This window comes from Homo sapiens, chromosome X (genome assembly GCF_000001405.40).
Source record: "Homo sapiens chromosome X, GRCh38.p14 Primary Assembly".
Taxonomy (NCBI): Eukaryota; Metazoa; Chordata; class Mammalia; order Primates; family Hominidae; genus Homo; species Homo sapiens.
In genome coordinates, this window is record NC_000023.11 from 124,702,242 (window position 1) to 124,715,105 (window position 12,864).

The 12,864-nt window shown below is 35.7% G+C and overlaps 1 protein-coding gene across 13 annotated transcripts in view; it reads right to left on the bottom strand.

Moving 5' to 3' along the window:
- The window catches only part of TENM1 (teneurin transmembrane protein 1), an 828,410-nt gene that overhangs the window by 326,339 nt on the left and 489,207 nt on the right, over positions 1–12,864 (bottom strand). For all 13 annotated transcript variants that reach the window (XM_017029210.3, XM_017029211.3, XM_047441760.1 and 10 more), the window contains one exon: positions 2,772–3,010. In XM_017029210.3, the coding sequence (XP_016884699.1) occupies positions 2,772–3,010 (239 nt within the window). The remainder of the gene's footprint in view (positions 1–2,771; positions 3,011–12,864) is intronic.

Genomic DNA, 12,864 nt, shown 5'->3' on the forward strand with positions numbered 1-12,864 from the left:
CTGAATGCCTATTTATGAATTTTTACTCTATCCTTCTGAGGTGGTCACCAATATGGCACAGATGGGATAAATCAAGAGAGATTTTTACTGACTTATCCAGTCACATAATGTCCAGTTCATGACAGAACCAGGAACAAAGTTCCAGTGTTTGCCATAAACATCTTCTCATATTGAACCCACTCAAGTTACTGTGCCAGCATTTAGCCTGATATTTCTGCATCTAAAAAATCTCCCAGTAAATGATTTCAACAAATATTGCTTACCAATCAACCAATCTTAGTGGCACTCACCATGGGAATAGATGACTTGGTATATCTAATTGAATTTGTAATTTAATAAGAAAAAATATCTGGTGGATTTATTCAGTAGACTGAGAAGTAAACAAGTTATAAAGTTTACTTCAGTGCTAGAAGAGCAGCAAGGCCTAGCACTCAAGAGTCAGTCTGCTCTGGCTTGAAGCTCAGCATCCTTATTTCTTAGCAAGGCACCCTCTTAATCTCAAAAGTGGCCTCTATGTGACCTCTTAACTTTGTTGAGCCTCAGTTTCCCCATTTATAAAATACATATGTATTGATACCTATCCTTAAGGATTGTTGTGAGAATTAAATGTGCTCATACAAGGAAAGAGCTTAGCATAATTCATTTTTTTCCAACAAACTTTTACTGAAAGGGCTTACACGTGCCAGGCACTGTTCTTGGTGCTGAGATACAGCCATGAACAAAATTGTTAATTCTGGGAACTAGTGAATTTTAATCGTGAATAATAATTATGATGGTAACAATGGTAATATTAATGATAATATTTAACATTTATAGGCTACTTACTATATTTCAGGCACTACTCCATGTGCTTTACTTATATTAACTCATTTAATTCTTCTAACAATCCTATGCTATAGGTACGATTTTAAGCCTGTTTTACAGATGAGGAAATGGAGACCTGAAAAGGTTAAGTAACTCACCCAAGGAAACACACCTAATAAGTGGCAGAGGTCTGAAAAATCTATGTTAATAACTATTGAACTATACTGTCTTACTTCCATGCCAAATTGATATGCCATTGTTTATTCTATTAAAAAAGACAGTCCTTGAAATAACTGAAATGTTCCACTTTTGCTGATGAAATGAATAAACATACAACTGAATTAAACAAGTTTCAGAATATGTAATAAAATTTTGATATGGGAGTGGCCATAATAATAAATTTAAATAGAAAATTAGTATTAAACATGGTATAAACCTAAATAAAGAGCTTGCTATTACTTGAGCTTGTTTACACCAAGGGTTAGGCCTTGTATCTAAAACATTATCTCTCTATATAGTAAAAGTTAATAGAAAATAACCCATATAAAAGTTTATCTCAATTGAGCAAGACCATTTTAAAGGGACTCTAATGTATTTAAACTTTTTATATTATTCCTTGTTCTCAATGATATATGAAAATCATGTTTGAGTTGTAGAACTTTCTCATCCTTCGCCTCCATTCCTTCAGCAGTATTTCTCATTACAGGTCACCACAAACCAAATAAACACACATGTTGGGTTATCCTGAAATGTCTGAGATAAAAGACACAGTTTTGATATTATAGGGTAATATAATCCATGTTAAATAGAAGCATTGTTCAAATATATTCAGCTTGTGTGATGAAAATATAAAAGAGAGAATCATGAACATCAGCGCAGGCTATGATCCTATACTGTTTACATCATCAGTGACCTCCCTACAAAATATAGCCGTTTATTTACTTACCATCCACTGGTCTATGATGCCCACACAAACTCATTATGTGAACTTTTAGATTATTCTCATTTTAGATAAATGGGAATCAACCAAATGTACTTTATTACTTAAAGAAAGTCTAAGTCTCTTTTTATCTGCCACTCAAAATCATATTCATTGTCTCTTAGTGGGTAAATCTGCTTCAAATAGGTAACTGGGGTAAACCTGAAAATAATTTATTAGGGATATACTTGGATAGACTTTGTTTTCTACAATGACATTCTATTCCTTCTAGGAATAGTGCTGCCACAAAATACACACATTTCTTAAGTCAGTTTACATTTTAGACTGCAGAACCACTCAAGAAAGTAAATTAATATTCAGTCACAATAAAATGACATCCAGAAAAATCAATACAATTTGCTACCAAATGAGGGTGACTTTAATCAGGGTGACTCAAGAACAACAACATTTTTCCTAAAAGTGGAAAGAGCACCTTATAACTGCTCTCTGCTTTACTTTTCAAGACATAGTAACTAAACAATTTTGCAGTCATTTACCTAGTGAAATAAGAATACATTTTTTGGTCACAGTGTAAAAATCTGAATTCTTGGGAAGAAATTATGTACTGAATTTTCTGATAGCTTCCAAATAACTGGGGCTTTAATGAAATTGCTACCTGAAAATTCCGTAGCAGTATTATTGTTTAACTGTAATTTAAGAAGCTATTGTAGATTGGTACTTATGACTTCTAATGGGAAAACCATAACAACCTTTTAATTGAAGGGAAAATGGTTAACTACAGTAATTGCGATCAATAAGACTGTGTTAGTAGTATAAATATTTCTTCTCAAAGAGCATTCCTTACTCTCCTCAGCAGTATTTAAGGTTAGGAAGAAAAAAAAAAAAGAAGAAAATCAATTTGTTATCATACTAAGCCTAGGTCCAAATGTGTACATGCCAGAATCGAGAGAAAAACCCCCCATTCCCACCACAAGCAAAACAAGACTTTGATTAAGAACAAAACTGAGGCATGACAAAAAGGACTTACCAATCACATAGGCTAGTAACAAGGCCAAAGTCACTGTGATTGCAGTGGCGCTCAATGCTGTGCACTTCCAGTTGCAGCACCTGTAAGGTTTGTTAAAGGTAAAGGCAGGTCGGGAAAAGGTGCTTCGAGGAAGAGGCCTGGGAGGGGGCGAGTACACGGTATTGGATGTCAGAGGGTAGTTCTGACTGGCTGCACTGAAGATCGCAGAGGAACCAGATCCATGTTTGAACAGGAAATGCCTGTGAAAAGGAAACACAAGTTTGGGCTATAAAAAGCAAAGCCAGTTGCTACAAAAACACAAACTCCATTAATTTCAAACAATCATGCTATAGCCAAGCTCAAGAGAACTGGATGGAGCTCAGCAACATTTTCATATACCTAAGAGATAATTCTAAATTGCCCTTGTTGTTCTCTCTCTTTTCTTTGTCTTTTTTTTTCTTTTTTCATCTAGACCTTTAAGAAACAGGCCTTGTGTTCCCCGATTTGCTGGCTAGTGAGTGCTAACATTCCACATTTGGTGTTACACACTACACCCTTCCCTTTCATTAAATATGATCATCAAGAGTTGATTCAAAAACAGAGATGCATCATTAGGCATTTTGATCATTAGAATGGCCTAGACACCAGTGTTTGAGATTATCCTCACTACCAAACTTTAGAGACTAGCTTCACAGCCATATTTTCATTCAACATTTTATTATAAAAATTATCAAATATACAGCCAAGTTGAAAGAATTTTATAATAAACAATCACATACTCACTAACTAGATTCCACAGTTAGCATTTGACTGAACTCACTTTGTCACATACTTATTCATTTCTCCATTCTTCTCTCCATCTGTCAGTTTTTAGTTTTTTGTTTTGTTTTGTTTCTGTTTCTGTTTGTTTGTTTGTTTGTTTGGTTTTGTTCTGAGATGGAATCTCGCTCTGTCACCAGGATGGAGTGCAATGGCATGATCTCGGCTCACTGCAACCTCCATCTCCCGGGTTCAAGCAATTCTTCTACCTCAGCCTCCTGAGTAGCTGGGACTACAGTTCGCACCACCACGCCCAGCTACTTTTTGTATTTTTAGTAGAGATGGGGTTTCACCATGTCGGCCAGGATGGTATCCATCTCTTGACCTAGTGGTCCGCCCGCCTAGCCTCCCAAAGTGCTGGGATTACAGGCGTGAGCCGCTGTGCCCGGCCAGTTTTTAGTTTTTAAGCATTTTGAAGTATGTTGCATACATCAGTACACTTCCCTTCATATATTTTAACTCACATATTATTAGCTAGTTTGATAGTTTTACAAATTTTAATGTAAAATTTATGCATAATAAAATGTGCAGTTTTATGTGCACATTTGCTGTAGATTTGACAAATGCTGTCACCTATGCAACCCAAACCCCTATCAAGATGTATAACATTCCCATCAAGACAAGAAGTTCTCTTCTGTCTTTTCTAGGTAAATCCCTATTTCTATTCCCAGAGAAAACCACTATTCTGCATGTTTTTGCCACCATACATTTGTTTTGCCTCTTGTAGAACTTCATGCAAATGGAGTCATGCTACTGTCATGTTTGAATTACTAAAGAATGATTGTTGAGTGTTCATGACTATTGTAATATGGGCATTTTGTAAACAGTAGTAATGTATTCACATGGAAGGAGTTGCCAAAAACAAATAAATAAATAAATAAAATTGCATATACTTCTTTTATACAACAAATAAATAAAAGTACTTTTATACTTGCTAAGTGCCAAGTGTTGTGCTGAACACTCATTAGTATCTCTTTTGCTCTTTACTCTTATGAAATAGTCTATATTATTCTCATTGTGTATTTATAGAAATGGAGACCAAAAGAGGTTAAACAACTTGCCCAAACTCACCTAGCAAGTGAAGGACAGAGCCAGAATCAGAATCTAGGTCATTTGGGGTTCCAAAGTCCTTAATCTTTTTTTTTTTTTTTTTTTTTGAGACGGAGTCTCGCTGTCACCCAGGCTGTAGTACAGTGGCACGATCTCATTCACTGCACTCCAGCCTGTAACTTCCAGATCTCACTGCACTCCAGCCTGTAACTCCAGCTCACTGTAACTTCCACCTCCTGGGTTCAAGCAATTCTCCTGCCTCAGCCTCGCAAGTAGCTGAGACCACAGGCTGCCGCCCTGCCTGGCTAATTTTTTGTATTTTAGTAGAGACGGGGTTTCACCATGTTGCCCAGGCTGGTCTTGAACTCCTGAGCTCAGGCAATCCGCCTACCTCAGCCTCCTAAAGTGCTAGGATTACAGGCATGAGCCACTGTGCCTGGCCAATCATTTTTTATAAACTTTTTTCTTTTCTTTTTTATCTTTAATTGACATATATAACAATTGTGCATATTTATGGGGTACATATGAGACAGGAATAATATAGTGTGGTTGCAGGAGAATAAAAAAATTCCAGGCAGCAGTTTCACATGATTAGAGGCTATGGGCTATTAAGACCCTGAATAATAGGATTTGAACCAAGCTGGCTAAGACTGACTGGACCCAACGTGGTGCGGGATTTGACCTAGGTTTCACCTCGGACTTCATTATATCCTCATTAACATACTAAATCACGCAACCCACCAGCACCATGACAGTTCCAGAAATACCCATGTTTGGTGTAAAAATGGGTGGCACCACAGTTCCGATAAATCTCCACCTTTTTACAGGAATTTTCATGAATATTCTACCCCTTGAATAAACAAACCCCAAAAGGTAGCAGCTCCAAACCCCCTTGTGGGTGATTCTCTCTTGAGTACACTTATACTCCCTTTTCTTGAGTGTGTACATTTCCCTTTGCAATAAATGTCCATACTTCCACTATTTTCCAACTTGTCTTTGAGTTCATTCTTGCAACAGTGTCAAGAGCCTGGACACCAGCTGTGGCCAAGATCCCGCCAGCATTTGGGGACTTCCCCCAGCCTACCAGCATCACATAGTGTTGTTTCAATACATATACATGTAGAATGAGCAGATCAGGATAATTAGCATATTCATCACCTTGACCAAAGTCTTTAATCTTAAGCAGTCTACCGTATTACCTGGGGCAGTAAAATAACAAAACACATTCGAGTGCTACATTTTAATGTACAACAAAAAATTTCACTAAGCATAAAGCCAACATCACCTTGTACATGTAATGTGTGCACAAATGCATAAATTACTAACATTATTTTAAGACTGACTTCTAGCTTCCATATTTAAAGAACAAAAGCATATGTATTTAAAGGGATTAAAAAAACCCTATATGAATGTTAATGGAAAATACCCACAACAGAGAATTTTGCTTCAGTATCATGAGGTTAAAAATTTTTTAAAGGACTGGGTTGCTGAGGGGAGTACAGATTCACAGGTCTTTCTGGAGGGCAATTTGGCATTATGTATCAAATGACTTTAAAAATGCCTATTCTTTGATGCAATAATTATGGCTATAGGAATTTTTCCTCAGGAAATGATGTGTATGACAATCCATATAAGAAGCCATTCATTGCAATGTTATTTATAATAGCAAAAAATAAACATCTAAATGCCCAGTAATTGCTATTTCATTAAGTAAATTATTTTATAAACACATAATGTAGTACTACACAATCATTACAAATTGCGTGGCAAATGACTGTCTATTCACTGGGAAAAGTGTTTACAGATATTACCAAGCAAAAAAAGGCAGGCTTCAAAAGAGTATGGGCAACGTTATTCAATTTTTAAAGGAAAAAAAGTACATATGTTCAAGGAAAATAATAATTTATGTTACCTTTGTATGGTAGGGGTATTTTCTGAACTTTTCTGCCTTGAGCTTGTATTGATTTTGTAACTAAGATAAAAAAAAAGATTCATGAGTATTAGGGAGTGGAAAACATTTACAGGATAACACCAACCACAGGAATAGTTGGTTCCATTTAAGTTAACGTGATTTATTGAGCGCCTAGATGGGCCAGGCTCCAAGTTAGGCACTTTGTCTCCAATTTTGATCCTTATATGTCTGTGAAGTTGATACTATTATCCTAATCTTCTAGATGACTGAACTGAGACCCAAAGAGGTTTAGTAGGAGTAGAGCGGTGATAATAGTAATTATTATAATAATGTTAGTAAGAGATAACATTTGAGTGATTATTTTTGACAGGCATTGCTCTAAATACTTCACAAAGTATTATATTATTTAATCTTCATAACAACTTTATTACAGTCGATATCTCTATTTTACAGATGAGACGATCTAAGCACAGAGAGGTTAAGTCACTTTTCCTTGGCCCCACAGCTAGTAATTGATTAAACTGAGTTTCAAACCCAGGCAGTCTGGCTGCAGAGCCACTGCTCTTAAACAATATACTATAACATAGTGTATTGTTTGTGATGGGAATACAGGCCTGTTGAGGCATAGAATAAGTATGCTTTGTGTTGAATTTGGCATGAGGATGATGTTTAACTGAGCCACACTATTACATTCCTTTTCTGACTAATAACAAGAATGTGAGAATGATGGCTACAGAATCACAGAGTTGGAAGGGACCCGCAGAAATCATCTAGTAGCCCATCCCTCTCATTTTGACGTTAGGGAAACTGAGGCCAAGAGAATGAAACTTTCTTACTTAAAAATAACATAGCTAGCTAATAGGCATGGATGAAACTGAAATCTGGGGCTTCCAAAATAGTGTATTTACATTACCCCATGCTACTTGACAACCACAGTCTTCACCAGATTAGCATCAGGTTCTAATCATCTGGGTTAACTGACCTGGGCCCAACAAATACTATCTGTTCAAACAGTACTACATAATACACATCTATTCTTCTGTATGTCAAATGTTCTTCTAGTAAATTTTAAAGACTGTCTTAACTATTTTGGATGAATGGGTAAGCATTACAAAGAAACTACCCTTTAGTTGATGAAAACCTAAAAGAGTTACTACTGCTTCTAAAGGCACCTAATTTATCCCCAGAATGAAGAAACAATATAAAAATAATAATAAGATTAAGTATATTTTAATGAATAAGTGACTCTTAGTTGTCCTCTTTTCATTTGATTGTGCTGTTACTTTAAGGCTTTTAAATAAATAACCTCCTCCGCACCATAAAAAGATGAATTTCTTTTTTAATGTCTGCTTAACTCTCCCAGACTGTTTTTTTCCCCTTTGACCATTTCATTTACTAGTGAGCAAGAAGTGTAGCACTATACAGGCAGCGTAGGGATGTAGCCTCCCTACCTCCCCACTCCTGCCCTGTGGTTACTTTGGAGGTGACAAAATGTCACATATTATGGATTCGATGCAGCAACACTCTGATATGGTCCTATGGGACAAAGGAGAAACCCAGCAGAATGAGGTTCCTTTACTTAATGTTTGGAGATAAAATCTTCAATCTTTTGCACATTTATGAAGGAGAATAATTGGATTTTTGAGACAATGTAAGTGTTCCAATATGTTGGATATTGATTTGGTTTGGTATAATATTAAGAGGTGGAAGGAAGGAAAACAAAAGACAGAGAATTGTTGGCTATTATGACGGCAATTACAAGAATAATCAATATCCCTGAGCCCTGTAATTTCATCCTGATGTACACCAAAGGATTTCCAAATGCAGTTTCATAAGTAAAATATTACAGCATAATGAATAAATTCAACAGTTGCAGCAGAACAACATTTAAACTAATTTTTATTTGAGTGGAATCCAAATCACGGTTCTCAATGAGGGTAGATAATAAAATGAGTTCATGTACTAAGGTTCTTGTTTTCTTATTAACAAACTCAGATTAAGATTCTATGCTGAAAGTGATCTGTACTTTGTTGTGAACCATGAAAAAGAGCAATGCAAATGACGTGTTTTGTCATAGGCTTTGCAGTCCATTGTTGGAAAGTCAAACTAGTGCCTAAATGTGTTTTCATAGTCCCTGAAAGAAGCAGGAGCAGAAAGACAAATGCTCAGTGCTAGATGTTAGCTATGTGCTCATACAATCAGATCATCTGTCTAAGCACATTGCTTTTCCCTGGGGACCTGAGGATATACTAAAATGTTGCTATCAATTTCATACAATTGGGTTTTTTTCCACAGAGCAAATGATAAAAATGCAGTTCAAGAGTTTATGTGTAAGTAGTACTCTTCTTTGCATCTGTTTTAATATTCAAGTTCAAATTTAAAAAGGAAAGGCAAGATATTACCAAAAGGAAATGGGCATATAAAGAAATTAAAAAAAAAATCTTCAAGAATGATGAGACCCAGTGGTGGTAAATGGGAATATAATAAATGCCCCTGTAAGGATTTTAAAATCATCTATAAAAAAGGGGAAAATGTGCTCTCTATTTTTAAACCCCTCATACTACATAATTCTGAGGGTATCTGCTAGCACTAAATAATGTGATTTAATGTGGCACTTAAAATTCTATAGGAAACAGACAGAAATCTATGACTTTCTAACAACAGATGCATAAATAACCAATGATTTTTTTCTTTTACATCTTGTAAACATTCTTATGAGACGCATATCTATACCTATATTCCCTTAGCTATAAGCATCTGACTCATTTTTGTACCCAGAAGAAGGAATTCAACTTGCTTCCAGTAGAAGCTGAGGTTGGGTTTTTAAAAACAAGAAGACTAGAAGTTAATAGGACCAAACCATATTTGGATAGCATAGTAGAATTTAGGTATTTTTTTAAAAAAACAAATTATAAAATGAATTTTTATTGTGATAAAAAGCATATGGCATAAAATTTCGCATGTTAAATTTTTTTAGTGTATAGTTCAGTAATGTTAAGTATTATTGACATGGTTATAGAACAGATCTCTGGAACTTTTACACCTTGCAAATCTGAAACACTATATCCCCATTAAACAATTGTTCTTTCCATCCTCTTCCAAGCAACCACCATTCTATTTGTTTCTATGATTTTGACTACTTTACATACTTCATATAAGGGGAATCATACAGTATTTGTGTTTTTGTGATTTATTTCACTTAACATAACGTCCTCCAAGTTCATCCATGTTGTAGCATTTGACAGGATTTCCCTCATTTTTAGGCCAAATAATATTCTTTTGTATGTATGTACCATATTTTGTTTATCTATTCATCCACTGATGGACACTTAGGTTGCTTCCACCTGTTGGCTATTGTGAATAGTGCTTCTGTAAACATAGAAGGTGTGCAAATATCTCTTTGAGATCTGCTTTCATTTATTTTGGATAAATACCTAGAAGTAGGATTGCTGGATCATACAGTAGTTCTATTTTTACTTTTCGGAGGAACTTCCATACCGTTTTCCATAGCGGTTTCTACTTTACAACACCACCAACCATGTACAAGGGTTCCAATTTCTCCACATCCTCACCAATACTTGTAATTTTCCTTCTTCTTTTTTTTTAATAGTAATGATTCTCATGGGTGTGAGGTGATATCTCATTGTGGTTTTGATTTGCATGTCTCTGATGAATAGGGATTTTGAACATCTTTTCTTTTCTTTTCTTTTTCTTTTTTGTTTTTTTGGAGACAGAGTTTTGTTCTGTCACCCAGGCTGGAGTGCAGTGGCACAATCTCGGTTCACTGCAACCTCTGCCTCCCACGTTCAGGTGATTCTCCTGCTTCAGACTCCTGAGTAGCTGGGACTACAGGCGCTTGCCACCATGCCCAGCTAATTTTTGTATTTTTAGTAGAGACGGGGTTTCACCATGTTGGCCAGGGTGGTCTTGAACTCCTGACCTCAAGTGATCTGCCCACCTCGGCCTCCCAAAGTGTTGGGATGACAGGCGTGAGACACCGCACCCGCCCTTGAACATCTTTTCATATGCTTTTTGGCATTTGTATATCACTTTTGCTTAAATGGCTATTCATAGGTATTTATTCTCATGCCTCCAAAAAACACAAGAAAATGCCATGCTGGGTCAGCCCCATTTTCTTCTCTAACAAGAATACTTAGAGTTGTTTTGTGGAAAAGAGTCATTACTGGCAAAGATATCAACCTCAACATCTCTACTAACAACTATATAAAGGAGAATTTCATTTTATTTGCCCTGTGATTCTTTCTTCCAAATACTAAGCCACCTCTGTCCACATATTGCTTCTAAACCTCGGACGCCAAGTGTTGATAAAAATTCCATGCTCCGTCCACATCGTTCATAATTTTAAGAGCTTTTAAATGAATTTCTGGATACCTATCTAAGCTTTAATTTTCCTAGGCTTAAGTCTTAGTTCTATAATATATTCTCAAATAGAAATACTCTGTAGTCTAGATCGTTACTATCGTGATTTGCAAAAAAAATTTTTTTTTTTTTTGAGATGGAGTTTTGCTCTTGTTGCCCAGGCTGGAGTGTAATGGCGTGATCTCGGCTCACTGCAACCTCCGCCTCCTGGGTTCAAGCAATTCTCCTGCCTCAGCCTCCCCAGTAGCTGGGATTACAGGCATGTGGCACCATGCCCGGCTAATTTTGTATTTTTGGTGGAGATGGGGTTTCTCCATGTTGGTCAGGCTGTTCTCGAACTCCCACCCTCAGGTGATCTGCCTGCTTCGGCCTCCCAAAGTGCTGGGATTACAGGCGTGAGCCACCATGCCCAGCCGGGAGATCCTTTTTAAACCTTTCAGTGGTTATCATCCCTTCTCCTCTTTTATTCAGAAGCAATATCTGCCCTATCTGGTCAACTATCTCTGGATTGCATATTCCTTGAGGACAGGAAACAGTCTTAATTTCTAGGTACATTGTCTCTTACTTCAGAGGTATTCGATGAATACATATTGATTTGTATGATGCCTTTGTTTCTTCTAAATGGGTCTTGAATCACTATGCAGAAGGAACAAAGGTTGGGTAGTCTAAGGTAAGTGTTCTATTTGCGGGCAAATATTTCTTGGCTTGTTGAATGTAAAAACAACTATATGCGCTCATTTCATTTTCACATAATCTAAAATAAATAAATCAAAGAAATAGTTGATTCACATTTCATGTCTTCTTGTGAGATATTTTAGTCATGAAAGAATTACTATTAATAATTATACTAATAATTTAAAGATAATTGCTGTTAATGATAATGGCAACATCATTGTCCACTTACTGAACATCTATTATGTGCCAGGTACTCTGCTAAAGTACTTCATGTGCTTTTTCTCACTGAATCCTCACCATAATCCTATAAGGTAGATGATATTATCTGCATTTCATAGGTGAGGAGGCTGTGGGTCAGATAATAGGATTAGATACATTTCATCAGGTTACACAATTGGTAAAAGGCAGAGTTGGTAATCAACTTCAGTTTTGTTGATTGCTAGAATGTAAGCTACATGAAAGTACAAATGCCTATCTTATTTATTACTGTATCTTCAGTGCTTAAAATGGTGCATAATAAACAGCAGGCACTCAATAATATTTTAAAATCCATGCCTACAATATCACTCATAATATTAATCATTGAGGTAGTATGATCTTCTTAATTCACCTGGTCATCTGATATTTCTCTTCTCAAAGATGAATACATATAAACTTCATATTTCACTGAATATGTTTTTATGGAATTTGTTTTCAACTCTTAAAATTACAGAAATGATCAAATGATATCAGGAGGATACTTATCATCATTGTGAAAGTGAGGTAATTGTCATGGCTCCCTGCTTAGAATGTGGGGGACATCAGAAAAGTTTCATGCAGTACTGTACTGGACTTTCCCATGTCAATTAATATAAACATAAATATAAATTAAATATAACTAAATATAAATTCAACATTCTTTAACAGGATGTTTAGAGATAAATTGAAAGTAGGAGTAAGGGCATAGATACATAAATGGTATAGAAAGAATATACTACATATTTTACAATGTTTGATCAAGTTGCTTTAGTAGACCTCAAAACTAATTAAAATAAATAATTAATGCTTCTCTTCATAATAATGCCCTTTCAAGTCACCCTTTCATTCTCCTTCCCCAAGTTAGATCCATGTTCTGTTAACCCAACTTTAATTTAAAATTTGATATTAAAAAACTCTATATCAGTTGAAGAGTAAATACCAAATTAATATTTTCTATTAATGCAAATGTTCCTGTATTAAAAGGCTCAGGCCAACGTATAAAAATTATTTACTTAGATAAGTAAGCTTATCATATTTTCA